Here is a 26,593-nt window from a genome sequence, read left to right on the forward strand (position 1 = left end):
GAAAATTATACAGAGTAACACAAAGAAAAAAGATACTAATCCAGTGCTTGGGATTATAAATACTGAAGTATTTATTAACTGCAATTGATAGTCCAAACAGTACTTCCGTCCTAAAGAAACATCCTTAAAAACACTCTAACCCCAGATATAATGCTAAATCTTACTTTGATGTTGTCCAGAACCCTTTTAAACTCCAAAGGTTCATCTTTTCCCTCCATAGCTGCAGGATCTAAGCCATCTCCTCCATAAATGAACTGGATAATATCGCCAGTAGAGCTTCGGACTGTCAGATCATACTGGGAGCAAAGATCTTCAAGAGATTTGACAAGCCTTCGCTAAAGGAAAAGGAGGAAAAAGCTCAGCTGCTTTGAGAAGACTAGTCACATGGGGAGAGGATAAGATTTGCAACTCAAGAGTCTCAAGGTTACAAGCACTTTAATCACATAAAAATACTTTATTAGAAACCCTTTAAAAAGAGTCCTCTCACCCCAAGAACAAGAGCAAGAATGCCTTACTAGCCTGTGCAGTGGGATTTGGAATATGCTCCAACCTCCAACATTTTAGTGTATTTTAGAACACATGCAATTTAAACCGCATCACCCACAAAGGACTCTGCAACTGCTGTTTTCCTAGGCTGTTTTACCTTCCTTCTCTTTCTCCCTAAGGTATAAATTAATGCAATAGCTTTGCATTTCTAAACAGAACTTAAGCCAGGACCCCTGCAGACTTCAATATGAATTACGGAGGATCAGGTGCAGGCCCTCTTCTGGGACAGAGGGGGAAGAAGAGAGAACAGGGACAGTATTGTGTCTGAACCAGCAGGCAGCAATGACTTCTCAAATCTGCTTAGGGAGAACCGTCCACCAGCTGAACACTCCAGCCAGCAATGCTATGGTGGCTCAGTGAATTAAAGAGAAGGAAATCTTCCTCTAGGCAACTTCAAAACAAAAAATCCCTTATGCCAGAACTAATTTAGTTTACATTAACACACTGCTCTGGCAAAGTCATACTCTCTAATTCAAAAAGTAAAGACAAAAAAATTAAGTAAAAACACACATTATGACAAGAGTGGTAAAAGTATTTCACAGTCTATTGGGTTTCTGACAAAAGCAGCATGCTCCCACACTGAAGGGCAATTTCCCATTGAAAGATGATTAATTGTATTCCATGGATGACACACACAAAAAAGACGATTAAAGGTATCAGATGATACACGAGCTACAGGAGAGATGATGGAAATAGGCGTCTACTGACTTGGAAATAGGTGTCCACTGTCACACTAATCACAGTGTTTGTTCTGGCCCACTCATTCACATCTCTGGTTTATCTACCCTGGTTTTCCAGCTTGCAAAGGGCCATGCTTCCATAGTAGGGAGAGAGAAGACACAAAGCCACAGCAAGTTCATGGCCCAGCAACTTGTAGTGTTGACTTTATCTGGTGTTTTAAGTAGTTAAAAACATTACTTAAAAAAAAAAAAAAAGCAGAAGACTCAGTAGCCAATGCGATCAACTGGAAGAAAGGGTATCAGTGATGGAAGACGTAATGAATGAAATGAAGCCAGAAGAGAAGTTTAGAGAAAAAAGAATAAAAAGAAATGAACAAAGCCTTGAAGAAATATGGGACTATGTGAAAAGACCAAATCTACGTCTGATTGGTGTACCTGAAAGTGACGGGGAGAAGGGAACCAAGTTGGAAAACACTCTGCAGGATGTTATCCAGGAGAACTTCCCCAATCTAGCAAGGTGGGCCAACATTCAAATTCAGGAAATACAGAGAACACCACAAAGATACTCCTCGAGAAGAGCAACTCCAAGACACATAATTGTCAGATTCACCAAAGTTGAAATGAAGGAAAAAATGTTAAGGGCAGCCAGAGAGAAAGGTCGGGTTACCCACAAAGGGAAGCCCATCAGACTAACAGCGGATCTCTCGGCAGAAACTCTACAAGCCAGAAGAGAGTGGGGACCAATATTCAACATTCTTAAAGAAAAGAATTTTCAAAACAGAATTTCATATCCAGCCAAACTAAGCTTCATAAGTGAAGGAGAAATAAAATACTTTACAGACAAGCAAATGCTGAGAGATTTTGTCACCACCAGGCCTGCCCTAAAAGAGCTCCTGAAGGAAGCACTAAACATGGAAAGGAATAACCGGTACCAGCCACTGCAAAAACATGCCAAATTGTAAAGACCATCAAGGCTAGGAAGAAACTGCATCAACTAACAAGCAAAATAACCAGCTAACATCATAATGACAGGATCAAATTCACAAATAAAATATTAACTTTAAATGTAAATGGGCTAAATGCTCCAATTAAAAGACACAGACTGGCAAATTGGATAAAGAGTCAAGACCCATCAGTGTGCTGTATTCAGGAAATGCATCTCACGTGCAGAGACACACATAGGCTCAAAATAAAGGGATGGAGGAAGATCTACTAAGCAAATGGAAAACAAAAAAAGGCAGGGGTGGCAATCCTAGTCTCTGATAAAACAGACTTTAAACCAACAAAGATCAAAAGAGACAAAGAAGGCCATTACATAATGGTAAAGGGATCAATTCAACAAGAAGAGCTAACTATCCTAAATATATATGCACCCAATACAGGAGCACCCAGATTCATAAAGCAAGTCCTGAGTGACCTACAAAGAGACTTAGACTCCCACACAATAATAATGGGAGACTTTAACACCCCACTGTCAACATTAGACAGAACAACGAGACAGAAAGTTAACAAGGATATCCAGGAATTGAACTCAGCTCTGCACCAAGCGGACCTAATAGACATCTACAGAATTCTCCACCCCAAATCAACAGAATATACATTCTTTTCAGCACCACACCACACCTATTCCAAAACTGACCACACAGTTGGAAGTAAAGCACTCCTTAGCAAATGTAAAAGAACAGAAATTATAACAAACTGTCTCTCAGACCACAGTGCAATCAAACTAGAACTCAGGATTAAGAAACTCACTCAAAACCGCTCAACTACATGGAAACTGAACAACCTGCTCCTGAATGACTACTGGGTAAATAATGAAATGAAGGCAGAAATAAAGATGTTCTTTGAAACCAACGAGAACAAAGACACAACATACCAGAATCTCTGGGACGCATTCAAAGCAGTGTGTAGAGGGAAATTTATAGCACTAAATGCCCACAAGAGAAAGCAGGAAAGATCTAAAATTGACACCCTAACATCACAATTAAAAGAATAAGAGAAGCAAGAGCAAACACATTCAAAAGCTAGCAGAAGGCAAGAAATAACTAAGATCAGAGCAGAACTGAAGGAACTAGAGACACAAAAAACCCTTCAAAAAATTAATGAATCCAGGAGCTGGTTTTTTGAAAAGATCAACAAAATTGACAGACCGCTAGCAAGACTAATAAAGAAGAAAAGAGAGAAGAATCAAATAGATGCAATAAAAAATGATAAAGGGGATATCACCAACGATCCCACAGAAATACAAACTACCATCAGAGAATACTATAAATACCTCTATGCAAATAAACTAGAAAATCTAGAAGAAATGGATAAATTCCTCGACACATACATCCTCCCAAGACTAAACCAGGAAGAAGTTGAATCTCTGAATAGACCAATAACAGGAGCTGAAATTGAGGCAATAATTAATAGCTTACCAACCAAAAAAAGTCCAGGACCAGATGGATTCACAGCCGAATTCTACCAGAGGTAAAAAGAGGAGCTGGTACCATTCCTTCTGAAACTACTCCAATCAATAGAAAAAGAGGGAATCCTCCCTAACTCATTTTATGAGGCCAGCATCATCCTGATACCAAAGCCTGGCAGAGACACAACCAAAAAAGAGAATTTTAGACCAATATCCTTGATGAACATCGATGCAAAAATCCTCAATAAAATACTGGCAAACCGAATCCAGCAGCACATCAAAAAGCTTATCCACCATGATCAAGTCGGCTTCATCCCTGGGATGCAAGGCTGGTTCCACATACACAGATCAATAAATGTAATCCAGCATATAAACAGAACCAAAGACAAAAAACACATGATTATCTCAATAGATGCAGAAAGGCCTTTGACAAAATTCAACAACCCTTCATGCTAAAAACTCTCAATAAATTAGGTATTGATGGGATGTATCTCAAAATAATAAGAGCTATCTATGACAAACCCACAGCCAATATCATATTGAATGGGCAAAAACTGGAAGCATTCCCTTTGAAAACGGGCACAAGACAGGGATGCCCTCTCTTACCACTCCTATTCAACATAGTGTTGGAAGTTCTGGCCAGGGCAATCAAGCAGAAGGAAATAAAGGGCATTCAATTAGGAAAAGAGGAAGTCAAATTGTCCCTGTTTGCAGATGACATGATTGTATAGCTAGAAAACCCAATCGTTTCAGCCCAAAATCTCCTCAAGCTGATAAGCAACTTCAGCAAAGTCTCAGGATACAAAATCAATGTGCAAAAATCACAAGCATTCTTATACACCAATAACAGACAGAGAGCCAAATCATGAGTGAACTCCCATTCACAATTGCTTCAAAGAGAATAAAATACCTAGGAATCCAACTTACAAGGGATGTGAAGGACCTCTTCAAGGAGAACTAAAAACCACTGCTCAATGAAATAAAAGAGGATACAAACAAATGGAGAACATTCCATGCTCATGGGTAGGAAGAATCAATATCGTGAAAATGGCCATACTGCCCAAGGTAATTTATAGACTCAATGCCATCCCCATCAAGCTACCAATGTCTTTCTTCACAAATTGGAAAAAACTACTTTAAAGTTCATATGGAACCAAAAAAGAGCCCACATCGCCAAGTCAATCCTAAGCCAAAAGAACAAACCTGGAGGCATCACGCTACCTGACTTCAAACTACACAAGGCTACAGTAACCAAAACAGAGATATAGACTGGTACCAAAACAGAGATATAGACCAGTGGAACAGAACAGAGCCCTCAGAAATAATGCCGCATATCTACAACTATCTGATCTTTGACAAACCTGAGAAAAACAAGCAATGGGGAAAGGATTCCCTATTTAATAAATGGTGCTGGGAAAACTGGGTAGTCATATGTAGAAAGCTGAAACTGGATCCCTTCCTTATACCTTATACAAAAATTAATTCAAGATGGATTAAAGACTTAAATGTTAGACCTAAAACCATAAAAACCATAGAAGAAAACCTAGGCAATAGCATTCAGGACATAGGCATGGGCAAGGACTTCATGTCTAAAACACCAAAAGCAATGGCAACAAAAGCCAAAATTGACAAATGGGATCTAATTAAACTAAAGAGCTTCTGCACAGCAAAAGAAACTACCATCAGAGTGAACAGGCAACCTACAGAATGGGAGAAAATTTTTGCAACCTACTCATCTGACAAAGGGCTAACATCCAGAATCTACAATGAACTCAAACAAATTTACAAGAAAAAAACAAACCCCATCAAAAAGTGGGTGAAGGATATGAACAGACACTTCTCAAAAGAAGACATTTATGCAGCCAAAGGACACATGAAACAATGCTCATCATCACTGGCCATCAGAGAAACGGAAATCAAAACTACAATGAGATACCGTCTCACACCAGTTAGAATGGCGATCATTAAAAAGTCAGGAAACAACAGGAGCTGGAGAGGATGTGGAGAAATAGGAACACTTTTACACTGTTGGTGGGACTGTAAACTAGTTCAACCATTGTGGAAGTCAGTGTGGCGATTCCTCAGGGATCTAGAACTAGAAATACCATTTGATGCAGCAATCCCATTACTGGGTATATACCCAAAGGATTATAAATCATGCTGCTATAAAGACACATGCACATGTATGTTTATAGCGGCACTATTCACAATAGCAAAGACTTGGAACCAACCTAAGTGTCCAACAATGATAGACTGGATTAAGAAAATGTGGCACATACACACCATGGAATACTATGCAGCCATAAAAAATGATGAGTTCACGTCCTTTGTAGGGACATGGATGAAACTGGAAACCATCATTCTCAGCAAACTATCCCAAAGACAAAAAACCAAATGCCGCATGTTCTCACTCATAGGTGGAAATTGAACAATGAGAACACATGGACACAGGAAGGGGAACATCACACACCGGGGACTGTTGTGGGGTAGGGGGAGCGGGGAGGGATAGCATTAGGAGATATACCTAATGCTAAATGAGTTAATGGGTACAGCACACCAACATGGCACATGTATACATATGTAACAAACCTGCACGTTGTGCACATGTACCCTAAACTTAAAAGTATAATAATAATAAAATTAAAAAAATACAGTTAAATTATTGAGTGGAGAGTACAGGGATTGAAAAGACATCTTTTGCCTGTGGTCTTATGGAAGAACACAAGAAGACGTATTTTTCACTCCTCTGCCATTAGGGTACTTTTGTGGTAAAGTTTGAGAAGCACAAATGCTGAGAAGCCTCTAGTTTAGCCCTGTGCCCCAGAGTCTATTATCTCAGAGCTATACACTCTCTGAGGAAATGCTTTCCTTCTAAGCATCCAAGCCCCGCAGCAAGCACTGGAATAGGTCATTAGAGTTAATTAGAATGATATTAATAATGAGTTACATAAATAGTTGCAAAGAGAGAGGCAGAGGCCTTGCAATAACCCTCATTGTCACGTGTTAGTAAAGCGAGGCTTAGTGAGGTTGAATGACATATCCCACAATGTACTTCCATCCATGTTCTCCTCTAACAGCGCTTTGCTATGCGTGGCTCTGGCCTGGTCTTGATCATCATAGGATGATTCGGAACATACTACATTTTTTTTGGTTGTTCATTTCCAGGGCATCTACCTTTCTACATTTTTTCCTTTTAAATTTAACCCAAGACTAGATAAATTACAGCTCATGTGCAAAACGTGTACTCAATAGTCAAAACCCACAGAGCTCTGTCCTGCTCTGTTGCTAATGGCCTACATTTCTTCAGGTTACCTGCATGTATCCCGTTTCAGCTGTCTTTACAGCCGTGTCGACTAGACCTTCCCGGCCGGCCATTGTGTGGAAGAAAAACTCAGTTGGTGTCAAACCGGAATAAAAGCTATTAGCCACAAAGCCTTTGGCAGCTGGGAGCTAAAGAGAGGTAGAAAAAAGAAAAATCAAACAAAAAAAGTTCAAGGCCCACGATTCTGAAATCCACTCAAATCAGAAAATGCCCCACCTTGAGACTATAAATACCTGGCCAGTATATTCTCACTAAATGGCAGGCTTTCTTTGCCCTTTCCTTATGGAGAAATACTTTATACCAGGGACAAGGAGAATGAGGGCCCAGCCAGGGCTGGTGCTGGTGCCAGTGGCAGGCAAGTGGCCCAAGAGAGGGAAACCTAAGATCTGGATGCTCTCCTTAAAATAGGCAAGCAGTCAAGGACCTCAGAGGACACCCTGTGGATGGAGGCTGCCTGCCCATTCCCTGGGAAATGACACCTTCAAGATATCCTTCCTGTGGGCCAGACCTGCCCACCTACAAAACATAACCATGCATTGTCAATGTCTACAGGGTTTCATTCTGGGCACTGAAAATGTTCTAAAAGTAGGTTGTAGTGATGGCTGCACAGCTCTGTGATTAACAGTCACTGAACTGTGTGCCTTACATGGGTAAATTATATATGAAGTATAATTGTAATAATTACATATGAAGTATATATGTATTTAAAGTTTATTTATTTGTAGAGATGGGGTCTCGCTATGTTGGCCAGACGAACTCCTGGCCTCAAGCAATCCTCTTGCCTTGGCCTCCCAAAGTGCTAGAATTTCAGGCATGAGACACTGTGCCCGGCCTGAAGTGTATCTTAATAAAATGGCAAAAAATACATATATAAAACTCCACATGAAATTGGCCAACGGTCTTTGATCTGAATAGGTCTGTGTTCCTTGGAGGAAAGTGTAGATTAAGAGATCTTCACAGTTCTACCTGATCTGCTACTGCTTACCTTTGAGTGTTTTTCAAAATGAGGCAAGGACCTGTTTTCAAAGCCGTCTGGCACTCGAGAGCCACTGATGGCCTGCTGTCCCACACAGGCAATCATCTGTGATATGTTAATGAAGGAACCTGGGGACATGGACCAGAAATGTAACATTCATTTACCAAAATAACACTAATTGAAGTGCATGCAGATTGGAAGGGTAAAACAGGAATAGGCCCTTATGCTCAATGAGGTCATGGTCCTGGAACAGTAGAAGACAGAAATACAATCAAGACAACAAGGAGCTGTCAGGAACCCAAGAAAGGCGGAACGACGGCGAGAGGAGCCAGGAGCATGTGTGGGTTGGAGGAAAGGCTGGGGAAGTGACAGGTGAGTCTTCAAGGAGGCTTCAGCAAGTCCAGGTTGGACTCCTGGAGGACATTATGATTTGGACATAAAGGGAGAGGGGGAGGAATTCCAAAGTGGGTGGGAAAGTAGGAAGCAAAGACAGAGAAATGGAAAAGTGTGGGCTATGTCCTGAGGGTAGGAAGCAGGAGAGCAATGGGGTAAAAGGCAGCAAAGTTAAAGAGACTGGACTTTATCCTGTTTAAAAAAAAAGTGTACAGAAATAGAAGCACAGAGGTTTTGAATTTGAATGCATTATCATAAAACCAAATGCTTTGAGGGCCTCGGTATCTACAAAATAGAAGAATTATGCCACATCATTAAGTACATTAAAAAATCCCTGGCTTTCTTCTGCTTCAACCTGCCTGACCTGCTGGGCTCAAGTGATCCTCCCACCTCAGCCTCCTGATTAGCTGGGACGACAGGCACAAGCCACCACGCCCAGCTAATTTTTTTTTTTTTGTATTTTTTGTAGAGATGGGGTTTTGGCATATTGCCCAGGCTGATCTCAAACTCCTGGGCTCAAGCAATCAATCGGCCTCGGCCTCAGCCTCCCAAAGTGCTGGGATTACAGGCATGAGCCACTGCATCTGGCCTCATTTTTTTTTAAAGACCACGTTGCTCAAAGCACCCTCAAACTCAGAATCCAGACACATTACCAACAAGTTCCTTCAAAGCAGTTAAACTTCCCAAAATGCAAATAATTAAGTCTCTCTCTCTGATTTAAAAAGATCCCTTAAATAAATGAAATGTCTGTTTGGAGCTGTGACTATCACATTTTCTGGAGCCAAACAGCCTGTACGGAGAACACACTGCCAGCAGGTGAGAGAGGGGCATGCAGACCTTTGGAGCCGCACAGAGCCATGGTGAGGGGGCTGTTGCTCTTGTCCAGCTCCCGGAGGCAGGCACTGCCAGCGTGGTCACGGATCACAGACAGCTCCTTCAGGATCAGTGCCTAGTGGGAGAAAAGGAGATCCTTGGTGGGTTGTCCTCATTGTCTCTGTGGATTACAAATGTTCAATCTAACATTTAAAGAAATTTGAAAATACTGAGGCAAGATGCCCGATTTCCGATCAGTAAATGTTTCAGAACCTTAGAGGAGCAAAATGCCCTGGCTATATGAACATGTACATCTTCTACAAGGTTCTAAAATTGGTGTATAAGGCAAACAGTTTATCTTTTTTTTGTTTTTGTTGGAGACAGGATCTCACTCTGTTGCTGAGGTTGGTGTACAATGGCATAATCACAGCTCACTGCAGCCTCAAACTCCCGGGCTCAAGTGATCCTCCTGCCCCAGACCCCTGAGTAGCTAGGACTACAGGTATATGTCCCTACCAGGCCTGGCTAATTTTTAAAATTTTTTTTGTAGAGATGGGGTCTTGCTATACTGCCCAGGTTGGACTTGAACTCCTGGCCTCAAGGGATCTTCCTGCCTTGATTATAGGCATAAGCCACCAAGCCTGGCCTAAAATTGACAGTAATAAAAACTTGAAGAATCCTTTAAATGGCCCATAAGGTAGAATGTATGGCTTTGTGTATACTACCCTACACAACAAAATATCTGTATATAAATAGCTGTGTGGACACACACATGCACCCCATACAAATATATAAGATAATATGTGGTATGTAAAAGAGAATTGCCTGTACTATTTGTAAATTTGTCTTTCTACTTTTTCTTGCCAAGCACACATCTGAATGTCTGCAAGCTAGGCATGTGATGAGGTGACTTCACAAGAATATTCCGGCTCATGAGCTCATCCACAGTTACTCCTCAACTTACAAACTAGGATGCTGAATCAGTTACAAGTCTGGTTCCATGAAAAATTGCTGCTGCCGAGGTCTCAAGTAATTTTCTAGGAGGTACCGGTGAGGGATATCCTTTTCTCTCTCTCTAAGACTCAGTAAGATTAAGAATGAGCTAATGGTAAATACCTCACAAAATTCTGGTTTCTCCCTGCTTTAGAAAATGTATTTCATTAGAAAACTTCCCAATGCTTAAAGAGCCTTTCTTCCACACTCAGGTGAGTCAAAGCTCAGTGCCACGGGTTTATCGGTGAGGCAGAAGACGGCCAGGTGAAAGCCTGGTGCACTCAGACTGCTGAGGGAGTTTCAGGTTCTCACAGGCTGGTGGTGATTCTGATTCTGACCCATGCTGGTTGAGATCTTAGCTAAAATAGTTTCAAATGAGGGGCAGCAGGCTGGGGATGTGACTATTAGACATGAATTCTCCCTCTTCCGCATCCAAGTCTCTTTCAAAGACCATACATTCAAAGAGCTGTGGTGAGGCTGGGCACGGTGGCTCATGCCTGTAATTCCAGCACTTTGGGAAGCCGAGGTGGGTGGATCACCTGAGGTCAGGAGTTCGAGACCAGGCTGGCCAACATGGCAAAACCCCGCCTCTACTAAAAATGCAAAAAAAAAATTAGCTGGGCATGGTGGTGGGCGCCTGTAATCCCAGCTACTTAGGATGTTGAGGCAGGGATAATTGCTTGCACCCAGGAGGTAGAGGTTGCAGTGAGATGAGATTGCACCACTGCACTCCAGCCTGGGCGACAAAGTGAGACTCCATCTTAAAACAAAACAACAACAAAAAAACTGGCTGGGCGTAGTGGCTTACACCTGTAATCCCAGTACTTTGGGAGGCCAAGGTGGGCAGATCACGAGGTCAGGAGATCGAGACCGTGCTGGCCAACATGGTGAAACCCTGTCTCTACTAAAAATACAAAAATTAGCTGGTCATGGTGGCATGTGCCTGTAATCCCAGCTACTTGGGAGGGTGAGGCAGGAGAATTGCTTGAACCAGGGAGTCAGACGTTGCAGTGAGCCAAGATCGTACCACTGCACTCCAGCCTGGCTGGAGTGCTTCATAAAACTATGAAAAGCGAGACTCCGTCTCAAACAAAAACAAAAACAAAAAAAACCAAACCCCCAAAAACCAAAGAGCTGTGGTGTCAGTTTCTACTTGAAGGATGCTGAAAATAGAAAAGGCAGGAGCACTCGAGTACCAGTTACAGAAGGGACCTGAGTGTGCCACCAGAACAAGAGCAGCCTCGTGTGGCCGAATGAACAGATGGCTATGTTTTCACCACCTGGATGTGAAAGTTAGGAGGGACATGAGGATCTGATGAAAGGCCCTACCCTCAGGAAACAAACAAGGACACACACAGTGAGCCCAGGGCCCCAACAGGACAGACGAGGACATACACAGTGAGCCCTGGGCCCCAACAGGACAGACGCCAATGCCTTGACTTGCCCACTCCTTTGCTACCTCTATTCATGGCTCAGCACAACCCCAGAGAGCACCACCGTAGCCACTGTGCACGGCAAGTGGCGACCCTGAACCAAAGGGCCGGGCTCACCTCCAGGGTCTCCTCAGCAGTGCAGCCAGGCTGCTGCTGCAGCTTGCCCGTGTTCAGGGCTTCGATGTACTCATCACATTTCTTGTAGCCGGCATTCAGCAACTCATACTTGGCCTTCAGCAGTCCTTGGCCAGGTGTGACATCACCGATCCCAATTGAGAAACCACGGTTAGCTGTTGAGTTGGTAGAGCAGGAAGAAAGGGCCATAAATGAGACTCAGCAAACCTACTAAATACAGTTTATGCCTGCTAGATATAGTTTGTACTATATATAAACTATGTATGTATAGTTTAAAGTATAAAAAAGTGTATATCTTCACAGAATTCATCACAATTCAATTAAATAATGGCTTTCTTTCTCAGTCATTAGGGAGTTACACAAAATGACTAGGACTCAACTGACTTCTCTCAGAGACCTTACGATCTGGTGGGGAAACACAATACCGTTTCCAACTATTATCTAAAGCAGAGTGACATTAAACACTAAAGGGTGGCCTGAGGGCTGGGTGCAGTGGCTCACGCCTATAATCCCAGCACTTTGGAAGGCTGAGGCAGGAGGCTCGCTTGATCCCAGATGTTTGTGATCAGCCTCATCTCTACAAAAACCTTAAAAAATTAGCCGGGCATGGTGGCACATGCCAGTAGTCCCAGCTACTTGGGAGGTGGAGGTTGCAATGAGCCATAATCACATCACTGCGCTCCAGCCTGGGCAACAGAGCAAGACCCTGTGTCACACACACAAAAAAGTATTCTCCAACTTTGATGGAACTAGGTGCCACCATTGATCCTAGCCACAATATACTGTATGTAGAAATAAAGAGAGTGAATGAGTGGCTTCTGGCTTAGCAGGATAGGAAGGTATGACCTACAAGTATCTGTAGATGAGAGGACTAATGGGCCTGGAAAGGCTCAGAAATGAGATCATTAGGTTCTGCAACTGCTGGAAATGATGAATGTGCTGGAAACAAGGAAACCTAGTGGAAAGTCTGTATAAGGAAGGCTCCAGGCCCTTATTCCTGTAGGAGATGGGAGTTCGCTCCCAGCGAAATGGAATCAGAGAGGCTCTGGGTCTGGGAATACCAGGCAGATGAAATAACTGTAAACAAGAGCACTGAGGGAAAGTCTGTATATTCCTTTTATATAAAAAAACTGAGAGGTCCATCAACCAGTCAGCTCCATTTCCAATCAGTGTTTCAGTCCTTACTCCTCAAGGACCACCAGATATTTGAGGAAAGATTTTAACATGAAAGACAAAAGACACAAATGCACAGGAAAAAGAAAGTAAAAGGATACAGAAAATTCAGGAAGCAAATATAATAAAACTATGAATAATATTCTCTCAGAGTGATCAGAGAAGATACATTCAGGGATCAAAACAAGAAAGCTTTAAAAACAAAACAGCCTGGGCATAGTGGCTCACGCCTGTAATCCCAGCACTTTGGGAGGCCGAGGTGGGCAGATCACTTGAGGTCAGGAGTTCGAGACCACCCTGGCCAACATGGTGAAACCCCGTCTCTACTAAAAACACAAAAATTAGCCGGGCATGGTGGCAGGCACCTGTAGTCCCAGTTACTCGGGAGGCTGTGGCAGGAGAATCACTTGAGCCTGGGAGGCGGAGGTTGCAGCGAGCTGAGATTGCATCACTGCACTCCAGCCTGGCGACTGAGCAAGACTCTGTCTCAAAAAAAAAAAAAAAAAAAAAAAAAAGAAACAAAAACACTACCTGTGAATAAGTATATTGAAAAATAGTATTGGAAATTAAATACATGACAGTGATAAAATTTTAAAAATCAACAGAAGTATTAAAAGATAAAGTGAATCTAGAATAAAGAAATGGCAAATGGAAAAGAAGATAATTAGATAATTAATCTAGGAGTTCTAATATGTAATTAACTGAAGTTCCAAAAAGAAAGAACAGAGAAAGTAAAAGAGAGAAAATTATTAAAGAAATAACATAAAATTTCCCGAATGGAAGGACACACAGCTGCAGATTAAATGAAATTACTCAGTGCTTAGCACAGTGAATGAAAAAAGACCCACACCAAAGGTATATTGTTGTGAACTTTCACAGTGAGAACAGAGAGGATTCTGAAAGTTTCTAAAATGAAAAAAACAATTCAAGGGCCAGGCATGGTAGCTAATGCCTGTAATCCTAGCACTTTGGGAGGTGGAGGCAGGTGGATCACTTGAGACCAGGAGTTCAAGACCAACCTGGGCAACATGGTGAGACTTCATTTCTACAAAACTTAGTTGGGCATGGTGGCACATGCCTGTAGTCCCAGCTGCTCGAGAGGCTGCGTGAGCCAAGATCACACCACTGCACTACAGCCTGGGTGACAGAGCAAGACCCTATCTTCAAAAAACAAAAAAAAATCAAATACAAAAACTGGGGAATAAGAACGACAATACCTGTTAACAACAACTCTGAAAGCAAGAAGAAAGTAGAGCAGTACCTTCAAAATTCTGAGGGAAAATAATTTTCAATCTAAAATTGTATACCCAGGCAAGTATAAGAGTGGAATAAAGTTTTGGGGGCATGCAAACATCACTTGACTCATGGCCCACTCAAAGCATGAGCAAACAAACAAACAAACAAAATAGAACAGTGAAAGCATAGTAGGCAAATATTGAGTAATCTTGGAGAACTGAATCATGGATAGCCCCAAGTGTTCTAGTGCTTCCACAGGGACCTTGGAAGCAGCCCATCAAGGATGGTTTATAATCTAACCCTGTCTAGAAGACCGTAGGGAGCTACTGCTGGTTTTGAGAAGAGAACTGAAAAGCAAATTCAAATCTGTTGTGAAACTATTCAGTACTGAGTTAATTTAATTAATAACAGCACACATGATTTAGCCTGGAATGAGTATCTTTTTCTGTATGTATATGTGTGGTGGGGATGAAATGGCAGTAAAAGAACAAAATAACGTAAACCCTTAAGACTCTAACAATTGCAGCTTTAACTAAAAGAAGGATGCTGAGATACTTACACAGGTAGACAGGAGCCAGCCTGGCGAGCCGTGACATGGCATCTGCAGCTTCATTCTGTCCCCAGTCTCGCAGCAAAATGTAAAAAATATTGTTCTTGGATCCTGACCCTAGGGTTCCTTTGTCCATGCTGCCACTCATCAACTCACTGTTCTGGATTGTAACATCTGGAAGAATGATTATATATTTAGACAACAATTATTTATTACTTTGCCTTATTCCAAAATGAATTTGAGACAGTTGAGAAAATATGTTCCCATACTGACACTTAAAGCAGAACAAACAGAAATTCTCCTCAAAGCTTTTTTTTGGGGGGAGGGAGGGGGGGTTAAAGGAAAACTTGGGAATTTTTGAAAAATATAGAAACTCCAGTTAGTGTGTAGTCCTAACCCTGAAATATACCAGTTGACCCTCACTCTCCTCATCTGTGAACTGTGGGTAACAGTATCAAGCACTTGTCATCTTTATGTTATGGGATATTTTGAGCATCAGATGAAATAACATACAGTGAAGTGCTCTATAAACTATAAATAATTTGTTACTCATATAAGATATTAAATATTAACAAAGGTACCATCATGTACAGCCTATACAACAACCAAATGAAATTCATATCCAAAAAGAAACAAAACAGTCTAAAACAAGAAGCTGAAGTATTTTGAAGATCAGAGAGCATATTTCCAAAGAAATAAATCTGAGGAGTATCAGTGCCCTTCAAAACATTTGCTCTTCATTAGAAGACAGCAGAAATCCTGACCTTCAGAAGAACTCTGCAATTCAGTTCTTCAGTACAGAGTCCTGGAGATCCACTTCTAGTCCCAAGGTCTCACTAGCAAAGCCCATTCTAAATCAGTGCTACTCAAACTAGGCTGCTAGGGAACTGTTTGGTAGTGGTCTGGGTGAGTGAACGTGCTCACATCAGAAAGTAACTCAATGGATGCTGGCTAAACAGCAGGGCTCTGTGGACTGCACTTCGGGTTGAACTGGTTTAGACAGACTCAGATGACTTGCATGTAAATCCTTTCCCTGGCTGGGTGAGGTGGCTCACACCTGTAATCCCAGCACTTTGGGAGGATGAGGTGGGACGATTGCTTGAGCCTAGGAGTTCGAGACCAGCCTGGGCAACGTAGGGAGAACCTGTTTGTCTTTGAAAAAAAAAAAAAAAAATCAATCCAGGCTGGGTGCAGTGGCTCATGCCTATAATCCCAGCACTTTGGGAGGGCAAGGCAGATCACTTGAGGTCAGGAGTTCAAGACCAGCTTGGCCAACACGGTGAAACCCCGTCTCTACTAAAAATACAAAAATAAGCCAGGCATGGTGGTGGGCGCCTGTAATCCAAGCTACTCAGGAGGCTGAGGCAGGAGAATCGCTTGAACCCAGTAGGTGGAAGTTGCAGTCAGCTGAGACTGCACCACTGCACTCCAGCCTGGGTGACAGAGCAAGACTTAGTCTCAAAAAAAAAAAAAAAAAAAAAAAAAATTAAATGCCTTAAATAGTAAAATCCTTGTTTATTGCCCCCCCCGCCGCCAAAAAGATGACAAAATACAGACAAACTACTAAGTGAGAAAAACTAGTCACTTAAGACAAAACACATTTGGAGAGAACATTCTAACCACTGCGTCATGTGTCTACATGATCTCTACTTTTAAGAGAAATGGGGAATTACATCTGAGAGAAGAAAAACCAGCTACATTTTCCTGAAGAAAAAACTTTCCACCTAAGGCTTACAGAAACAATGAATTTGCTTGCTTCGCGAAGGTACCAGCAAAGCTGATGACCAGCCACTTGCTTTTCTGTCACGTTCCTCCTTCTCCCCACCCGAGTTCCGTCCACTCACAGGAATCATTGGCACAGAGATCTTCCCCTTTGCCACAGTACTGCTTGCCCTTGGTTCGCAGGTTGGCCCTCACTGGATTGTCATCGCTAGGCCTGAGGATGACACTGAAGATCTGCTTTCCCGTCCACAGGGTGACAGGCTGAGGGGGGGAGGAAGCCTGAGAGTCAGTGGGCTGAGCCTGGTCTCAATCCCCCTTCAGTAGACGAAGCCAGGCGGCCTAGGGACTGCACTCAAGCCTAGCACCAACACGGTTCCACTCATTTCACCAGTCTACCCCCACAGACACATACACACACCTGTGCACCAACACACAACTCCCACACACACCTTTAGGATTGTAGGCGGTGGGAGGCGAACTTTAATTTTCTCATCCTTGCCAACCAGTATTGAAGCAATGATTTGGCAAGCCTTGGCTCGATCAAAGAAAGTGTCCTTGAGAGTGAGGAGATAGGCACCTAAGCATTAGGAACCAACACAAAACAAAGAAAAGGAATGAAATTGTGAGAATACTGCAAGGTTTCAATTTTAAAATAAATTTGAACCATGACCAACAGCGTGAATTGAAACAAACAGCTGCTTACTGGCTTTCTCCTCCAACTAGGATCTACCTCCACAGGAACGTGACTTTGTTTTGTTCACTGCTGTATCCCCAGGCAAAAGGGACAGATTCTAAGCCAGACACTAGGTTTAGAAAATGCCCAGTCCATGAGAGGAGCTCATTAAAGACTTGCTGAATTAATGAATAACCAACCAATTAAAAAAAAAAAGAAAAAAAAAAACCCACGGGGAGGTTCATGATCAAACTTAGTAAACAAAAAACCAAATTAAACACAGGCTATTAAATAGCTTTTCAAGTCATCACATGAATCACTATGAACGAGGAACACTGTGTTCCAGTCAGAAATCTCCTTTCAAGTGAACTTCACCAACCTACCTGTTAGAAAATCCTGAATAGCAGCAATCAGCGGTTCCCCATTCCTCGGGGTTACAAGATTTGCTTTAGTCTGTAGGAAAAGTAAGCGCAGTCAGTTAGCTGTTCTCGGATGCATGATGCAGCCCAAAGCCTGAATCACAAGGTTTTTGAATAGTTATGAACAAATACAGAGTAGCAGAAGGACGAGGCTGAGAAATGAAAGCCAGGGGTCTGAATCCCAGCTTTGTCACTAACTCCCAGTTCCTTTATCTGTCAAGGGGAGAGAAAAAAATACCAGCAAGATTGACCTAGGAGGGTCCTACCAACACCAAAATGAAATATCAAGTGAAGTTGTTTCAGAATTCTATGAAAAACTCTACCCATGTAAGAAGATTTTATTGTTGTTTGTTTTTGAGACAGAGTCTTGCTTATAGCCCAGGTTAGAGTGCAGTGGTGCAAATATGGCTCACTGCAGCCTCAACCTCATGGGGCTCAAGTGATCCTCCCAGCTCAGCCTCCCAAGCAGCTGGGACTACAGGCCCACATCATCATGCCCAGCTAAGTTTTTGCATTTTTTTTGTGGAGACGGGGTCTTACTTTGTTGCCCAGACTGGTCTCGAACTCCTGGGCTCAACTGATCCTCCCACCTTGGCCTCCCAAAGTGCTGGTATTACAGGCATGAGCTACTGCACCCAGCCCTATTGTTATTACTATAGGTGCTTCTCCAAAGAAAATTCATTTCTGTGAATGATGAGGAGCGTTGTGACCTCTGAAGTCAACCAATTCCACACTTGTCCACAATGATGACAGAACTGTTAAATGTCCCTTGGTTAAGACATTACGTTCTAATAATAATCAATCCAACAACAGAATTTAATTAAACATTTAATGAGGGCCTACGTTGGGCAAAAAAGGGTGTTAGGTAGTAAAACATAATTAAGTCATGTAAAGAAGGCTCTGTGTGTATGAGAGTACATTTGCTCTAATCTTGATATGAAAATGCACATGTGTATTTGTGGGTTTTCTGGGCCTTTTCACCCAGAAAGCAGGGTCCTCTCAGACAAAGGCCCATTACCACTTACTTCTGAGCCACTATCCAAAGCAGGGACCCTTCAACCAGAGTGGGAGACAGCTATTTAGCCAGATGTGCCTCTTCATTGCACACCACCTGACTGCTCTTACTCCTGGTTTAGAGACTCTCTCTGAGGTGGGATACAGGTAGTCTACGGATAGAAGCAGAGTGCAAGGGGCTGAGATTAGTGTATTTTGAAAAGGTCTCCTGGGTAATTTGGGCCCACATCCAAATTAGAGCCCTATGCACTACACGGAGAACAGCATTGCTAAATCAGAACGATAGGTATTTTCTTACTTGAAATTGAGGAAACTTGTCCACATGGTAACTAAGGATTCTTCTACCCCAAAATCCTTGGAGACTTTGTTTTATTATTGCCATTTGTAACCAATGAAATATGCAGTTGTAACACAATGTCCACAGTATGGATCCTCAATGGCAGAGTTGACAGCAAAGTCTAAATGGTTGGTTGCAAGCTGATAGCTATTATTTCAAGCAGCATTCTAAACATTACTTTTTGTTACAAAAATAATATATGCTCATTATAGAAAATAAATCTAAGGCCAGGTGCAATGGCTCACACCTGTAATCCCAGCATCTGGGGAGGCCGAATCGGGCGGATCACCTGAGGTCGGGAGTTCAAGACCAGCCTGACGAATGTGGTGAAACCCTGTCTCTACTAAGAGTACAAAATTAGCTGGGCATGGTGGCAGACGCCTGTAATCCCAGCTACTCAGGAGGCTGAGGCAGGAGAATCACTTGAACCTGGGAGGTAGAGGTTGCAGTGGGCTGAGATCACATCATTGCACTCCAGCCTGGGCAACAAGAGTAAAACTCCGTCTCAAACAAACAAACAAAAAAAAAAAGAAAAAGAAAAAGAAAAAAAATCTAAACGTATAGACAACTTAAAACCCCAAAATGATGCATGCAATACTAAAAGCCTAAACCAAAACAGGTTAAAAGCATCACATCAGAAATGGTAATAAGTGATTTTGGAGGTAGGGACACTTACAACTATAAGACTTACCAGTTCCTAATATAGGAAGCTGGAATACTGAAAAAAGAAAGCCTGAAGCTCTAAAATACTCAGTAGTTGGGGATCATGAAGTTCAGGAGGAGAGAATCCTACACAGCCGGTGCCATGTCCCACTGTGCTATTGCTGGGTCAGGAGTGAATAGTACATGTAGTGCCAACAGGTTTTTTTTTTTTCTTCTTTTGAGACAGGGTCTTGCTCTGTTGCCCAGGCTGAACTGCAGTGGTGCAATCACAGCTCACTGCAGCCTCAACCTCCTGGGACCAAGCAATCCTCCCATTTCAGCTTCCTGAGTAGCTGGGACTACAGGCGTGCGCCACCACACCTGGCTAATTTTTGTAGTTTTCGTAGAGATGGAGTTTCGCCATGTTGTCCGGGCTGGTCTTGAACTCCTGAACTCAAGTGAACCACCTGCCTAGGCTTCCCATAGTGCTGGGATTACAGGCCTGAGCCACAGCGCCAGCCTGTGCCAACAGTTAAAGCTCAACTGTAAGCTCCTTAAGAGCAGGCACGTGCCTCACTATCACCGATCTCCTGCAGCATCTACTGGGCACTCCTTATGCATTTGTCAAATAAAGTGGTGGTAAGAGTTATTATCATTATGTATAATACTGCATCCTCTAAGAAGACGAAGTATGTAATATAGTTTAGGAAGGTTTCCATTCAGAATGTTCAATAAAATGTGCTGGTGCTTAAAGAATCTTCAGCTACTGGAAAATTTACTTAGGTAGGACATCTTCTTCCCCTGTGACAGCCAACATTGATATTGCTATATTCTTTTCTTACCTTGTCATAACTGGCCCTCATGTATACATTTTCTCCCAGAACCCACATTTATAGGCCAGAAAATCCCCTCAACGCATCTGTTACAGACCCTAACTCTCATGTATATACTATAATTTCTAAGAGATTCTTCAAAGGCTCAAAAGAAACCAATAAAAAGAGAGATATATAGGCAGTTAGTGGTCGGTTTAAGAACAGAAAGAGCCTGGCTTCTTTGGCGTTGTTAGTTGTGGTGGTGTTTTCATGTAAGTTTCCTTTGCCTCCTTTCAAGGAGCTGTTATGCAAAAGCTGGGCTGTGCCACCCTACATACCCCCATCAGAACAAGGGCCTCTGCTTTAGCTTCTTCTGTTTGAGGAAGATGAAGGTTCATTTCATCACCATCAAAGTCAGCATTATAGGGTGTACAGACACACTCATTAAATCTGAAGGTCCGGTGGGGCTTGACCCTGGCCTGTGGAACACAAAACAAAACAAAACAGGAAGAGGACTTAGGCATTTATCCAAAAGCTTCTCTGTTTTGAAACATTAAAAATGGCTTCCTGGAATACTGGGCACTGGCTTAAGAAAGTAGATTTCCAGTATGTTCTGTCAAGTGATATATATCATTTAGGACTCATTCCCAGTCTGGCCAACATGGTGAAACCCCATCTCTACTAAAAATACAAAAATTAGCCAGGTGTGGTAACACATGCCTATAATCCCAGTAACTTGGGAGGCTGAGGCAGGAGAATCGCTTGAACCCAGGAGGTGGAGGTTGCAGTGAGCCAAGATCGCGCCATTGCACCCCAGCCTGGGTGATAGAGCGAGACTCCATCTCAAAAAAAGAAAAAAAAAAAAAGACTCATTCGAGAAGCTTTATTAGATTGAACCAAAGCAGTGAATTTCAACAAAGGCGCCAGTGTGAAGGCTCCCACTGGCCAAGGATGTCATGGTTTCAAGTATCAAAAAGATTAACAGCAGAAGTTGATTAAAATAAACCAACTAAATAAAAACCCATGTGTTTATAATGACACTGAAAAAACAGAAAGTCAAAACAAACAAAAAACCCCAATCAATCTAGTTGGAAGTTACTGAGCACTAACCCCCTTTTTTTTTGAGACGTAGTCTCACTCTGTTGTCCTGGCTGGAGTGCAATGGTGCAATCTCGGCTCACTGCAACCTCTGTCTCCCGGGTTCAAGCAATTCTCCTGCCTCAGCCTCCTGAGTAGCTGGGACTACAGGCGTTTACTGCCACACCAGGCTAATTTTTATATTTTAGTAGAGATGAGGTTTCACCATTGGTCTAGAACTCCTGACCTCATGATCCGCCCACCTTGGCCTCCCAAAGTGCTGGCATTACAGGCTTGAGCCACCGCACCTGGCCCTTTCTTTAAAAAAAAAAAAATTTTTTTTCCTAAGCACACGAACACAGGAGAGCACTAAGTTCTTACTTCCCAAAATCACAATAAAGGAAAAAGACTTAACCATTTACACAGCCTTTGCTTTATGAGCTGCACCTCTGGGCAAGCAAACAGACCTAATTAACAAGCGGGTATTTTCCATTATAAGAATTGTAGGTAATAAATGTTAAAGGAACGATAGATTCAAAAAGTGGGGTTCCATTTTGCAGCCCAATAAAATAACACAGGCAATGATAACAAATGAATTAATTAGAATGAATTCATTGCTTGCATCTTGACTCAAACAAACCACAAAAAGACAATTTTGAGACAAATGGGGAAATCTGAATATGAACTAGGTATGGACCTGGGAATGCCAAGAGATGACTGTTAATTTTGTTAGGTATGATTACAGCACTGTGGTTATGTAAGTTTTTCTTACAAATGTAAACTGGATACATATTGAAAAATGACACAGATATGGGTTCATCGAAGAAAAATGGGAAAGATAAAACAAGTGTGGCTAAACCTTGAAAATTATTGCATATAGAGGATGGGAATATGTAAGTTCATTAGACCATTCTTTCTACTTTAGTGTACATTTGAAAATTTTCTTTTTCTTTTTTTGAGACGGAGCTTCATTCTGCTGCCTAGGCTGGAGTGCAGTGGCGCAATCTCGGCTCACTGCAACCTCTGCCTCCTGGGTTCAAGCAATTCTCCTGCCTCAGCCTCCCAAGTAGCTGGGATTACAGGCACGTGCCACCACACCCGGCTAATTTTTTGTATTTTAGTAAAGATGGGGTTTCATTATGCTGTCCAGGCTGGTCTCGAACTCCTGACCTCAAGTGATACACCTTGGCCTCCCAGAGTGCTGGGATTACAGGCATGAGCCATCACACCTGGCCTCAAAATTTTCAAACAAAAAAAATTTCTACTTCTTTTTTTAGAGACAGGGTCTCATTACGTTGTCTAGGCTGGAGTGCAGTGGCTATTTATAGGCGTGATATAGCACACTGTAGCCTTGAACTCCCAGGCCCACGTGATCCTTCTGCCTCCGCCTCCTGAGTAGCTGGGGCTATAGGTGTGTGCCATTGCCAGTCAAAAAAACCTAATAATTATATTTTGTAATGTTCCAAAGCCAAGCAAAACATTCCAGAAAGAGAAGGCTTTAGTTAACCCTCTACATTCTCACAATCATAATCCCATAATCACAAACTACTTCTTAGTTATTTCTACTATTATGTAAATGACTGATATAATGTGTTCAGACGACCCCAAAATGAATCTATGAAAAAATATTACCATAAGAGGCTGCTTAAACACTGTTTGCAAAGGCTCATGGATTAACAGCTTTACAGATAGGAGAATCTATGAATATTGAACAAATTAAAGCTGTATTTCATTTCCATTTTAAATCTCCAGAAAAAGGAACTGCTGCTGTTGCAAAACTAAATCACCAAAAAAATATGGTTTAAGGTCTTAGTTGGAGGATTACTGCAAAGAAAAAATCTTTTAAGCATTTTAGTTGCTTAGTTAATATGCAAAGTTAAATCAAAAGTCAATTTTCTGGCTAGGCACAGTGGGTCATACCTATAATCCCAGCACTCTGGGAGGCTAAGGTGGGAGGATCCATTGAGCACAGGAGATTGCGACCCATCTGGGCAATACACCAAGACCTCAGCTCCACTTATTAAAAAAAAAAAAAAAAAAAAAGGGTGGGCACAGTGGCTCATGTCTGTAATCCCAGCACTTTGGGAGGCCAAGGTGGGTGAATCACCTGAGGTCAGGAGTTTGAGACCAGCCAGGCCAACATGGTGAAATCCTGCCTCAACTAAAAATACAAACATTAGCTGGGCGTGGTGGCATGCACCTGTAACTCCAGCTACTTGAGAGGCTAAGGCAGGAGACTCACTTGAACCTGGGAGGCAGAGGCTGCTGTGAGCCAAGACTGCGACACTGCACACCAGCCTGGGCAATAGAGTGAGACTCTGTCTCAAAAAAAAAAAAAAAAAGCTGGCCATCATGGCACATGCCTGTAGTCCTAGCTACGGTAGGCTGAGGTGGGAGGATCGCTTGAGCCGAGGCGGTCAAAGCTGCAATGAGCCAGACTGTGCCACTGCACTCCAGCCTGGGTAACAGAGTGAGACTGTCTCCAAAAAAAAAAAAAAAAAATCCATTTTCTGCCATACCTATTTTATGTAAGTTTGTGCACACAACACATATACGTGTATATGTTTTTGTGAAACCATGCTAGTCACTTTCAATTAAATCCTCTCTTAGTGTTTTGTATGAATATTACGTTGCAAATATTAAAAATTTAATATTAAAAAATATTAAAGCTTACTAAAAGGAAGCTTGAAATTAAAAAGTTTCACTCAAACTAAAATGTGAGAGAAGAGGGAGACCAATAGTTATGAAAGGTTGGGCCAGCTGTAGGGGCTACTCACGCCTATAATCCCAGAACTTTGGGAGGCTGAAGGAGGATCGCTTGAGCCCAAGAGTTCCAGACTAGCTTGGGCAATATAGTGAGACCCCCGTCTCAACCAAAAACCAAAAACAAAAAACAAAAAAACCCCAAATTAGCCAGATTTGGTGGCACATGTCCGTGGTCCCAGCTACTTTGGGGGCTGAGGTGGGAGGCTTGCTTGGGCCTGGGAGGTCCAGGTTGCAGTGAGCTGTGATTGTGTCACTGCACTCCAACCTGGGTGACAGAGCAAGAGCCTGTCTCAAAAAAAAAAAAAAGTTATGAAAACTTGAGATAACAGGCAATTTTAATTTTAGAAGTCCACTGTTTAGCACTGAACAGTCATGGCAAATTTCTACGTGATGGAAAATTTAAAAAGCAGTGCTACTCACCAGATGAGCCATAATGCTCAATTTGTGCAGCGAGGGCTGCCGATTGAACAGCACCACATCTCCATCGATGAGGTGTCTCTCTACGATGTCACCATACTTGAGCTCTTGAGCCATCTTTTCTCGATTTCCGTATTTCAAAAACCTGAATGTGCAACAATAAACATGATCTGTGAAAGCAAAGTTCTCTCACCAAGTTTCTCCCTCTTCAGATCAGGATTCAATCTTTAATATATTATTTCATCAAATCTAAGATGCCTCCATTTTAATGTCATATAGTTTTATGTGCCAAGAAAAAAGCTCCCTATTAAACTATGACAGGGTGGGCGAGGTGACTCACTCTTGTAATCTCAGCACTTTGGGAGGCTGAGATGGGCGGACTGCTTGAGCCCAGGAGATTGAGAACAGACTGGGCAACATGGTGAGACCTTGTCTCTACAAAAAATACAAAAATTAGCCAAACGTGGTGGGGTGTGTGCCTTTAATCCCATCTACTTTGGAGCCTAAGGTGGGAGGATCACCTGAGCAGAGGAGGTGGAGACTGCAGTGAGCCATGATTGTGCCATTGCGCTCCAGCCTGAGTGACAGACTGAGACATCAAAAAAAAAAAAAAAAAAACCATGATAAATTGATCTTAAGATATATCCAGTCGGATGTGGTGGCTCATGGCTGTAATCCTAGCACTTTGGGAGGCTGAGGCAGCTGGATCACCAGGTCAGGAGTTCGAAACCAGCCTGGTCAACATGGTGAAAACCCGTCGCTACTAAAAATACAAAAATTAGTCAGGTGTGGTGGCGGGTGCCTGTAATCCCAGCTACTCGGGTGACTGAGGCAGGAAACTTGCTTGAACCTGGGAGGTGGAGGTTGCAGTGAGTCAAGATCGTGCCACTACTCTCCAGCCTGGGTAACACAGCAAGACTCTGTCTTGAAAAAAAAAAAAAAGACATATCCTAATTTTAGAAATGCTAAAAGCCCTGAGAGCCCAGGTGACACAGGCAATGATCCACTTTATATATTTATTGTATTTCTGAGACAGAGTCTTGCTCTGTCGCCCAGGCTGGAGTGCAGTGGTGTGATCTCAGCTCACTGCAACCTCTGCCTCCTGGGTTCAAGTGATTTTTGTGTCTCAGGCTTCTGAGTAGCTGGGACTACATACGTGTGCTACCGTGCCCAGCTAATTTTTGTATTTTTAGTAGAAAAGGGGTTTCTTTGCCATATTGGCCAGGCTGGTCTTGAACTCCTGGCCTCAAGTGATTTGCCCACCTTGGCCTCACAAAGTGCTGGGATTAAAGGTGTGAGCCACCAAGCCCAGCAATAATGATCCTCTTTAGACTTTAGTATCCATGGTATTTTGTCCTCCTGGATCCAATAACATTACAAGCCTGAGAACAAAGGAGCACTTCATGTATATTCAATGACTGAACAGAGCAAATGACATACCTTGGCTCACGGAAATTTAAACAGATATTTTCCACATGCCAAAATGTCACGCAAACTGTATTTCTGGATTGCATTCTGTGGCTGAGTATGACCACAGTGAGCTTTGCCATGAGAAAGTAGTTAAATCCAACTAGATTGGGAAAAGATTACCTTTTCATCTGCGTATGTCTCTGCTGAATGAAGTTTGCTCCTGGGTGAACCTCAGGGCCGTTTTGAACCAGTTTCCTCAAGAAATTGATGTTTGCTTTGTTTACCTGCAGTACAAAAAAACCACAATAAGTTACTCCCAGGTAACTAGAAACTAACAAATGATACTGAAATGCGTCTTAATCTTTACTTTCCTTGTTCAGATTCTAGGAGAAAGAGAGGCATCCTGGGCAGCCTGCTGCCTATGGTCTTGAGTATAATGTGAACAACAGACTGGCAAACAAGCTTCCAGCTTCCAGTGTCAACTCAGCTGTTTGCTCACTGAGTGACATGGCCAATTCCTTTCCTGGTGCTTGGTTTCCTCACTGGTAAAACGGGTAGGCTAGACTGATCTATAGGAACCTTCTGTGATCCTAGAAACAGGTGGCGACTTGATCTGCAATAACTTACTGGGGGCTTGTAAGGTT

General features: G+C 42.4%; 1 protein-coding gene across 1 annotated transcript in view; it reads right to left on the bottom strand.

Moving 5' to 3' along the window:
* The window catches only part of POLR3A (RNA polymerase III subunit A), a 54,367-nt gene that overhangs the window by 17,884 nt on the left and 9,890 nt on the right, over positions 1 to 26,593 (bottom strand). The window contains exons 9-20 of the mRNA NM_007055.4: positions 26,130 to 26,233; positions 24,543 to 24,684; positions 20,618 to 20,758; positions 17,439 to 17,508; positions 16,832 to 16,959; positions 16,505 to 16,643; positions 14,670 to 14,834; positions 11,684 to 11,856; positions 9,165 to 9,276; positions 7,944 to 8,062; positions 6,949 to 7,086; positions 165 to 335 (exon numbers count right to left, since the gene is read on the bottom strand). Coding sequence (NP_008986.2) covers positions 165 to 335; positions 6,949 to 7,086; positions 7,944 to 8,062; positions 9,165 to 9,276; positions 11,684 to 11,856; positions 14,670 to 14,834; positions 16,505 to 16,643; positions 16,832 to 16,959; positions 17,439 to 17,508; positions 20,618 to 20,758; positions 24,543 to 24,684; positions 26,130 to 26,233 — 1,602 coding nt within the window. The remainder of the gene's footprint in view (positions 1 to 164; positions 336 to 6,948; positions 7,087 to 7,943; positions 8,063 to 9,164; positions 9,277 to 11,683; positions 11,857 to 14,669; positions 14,835 to 16,504; positions 16,644 to 16,831; positions 16,960 to 17,438; positions 17,509 to 20,617; positions 20,759 to 24,542; positions 24,685 to 26,129; positions 26,234 to 26,593) is intronic.

Source organism: Homo sapiens, chromosome 10, assembly GCF_000001405.40.
Source record: "Homo sapiens chromosome 10, GRCh38.p14 Primary Assembly".
Classification (NCBI taxonomy): domain Eukaryota; kingdom Metazoa; phylum Chordata; class Mammalia; order Primates; family Hominidae; genus Homo; species Homo sapiens.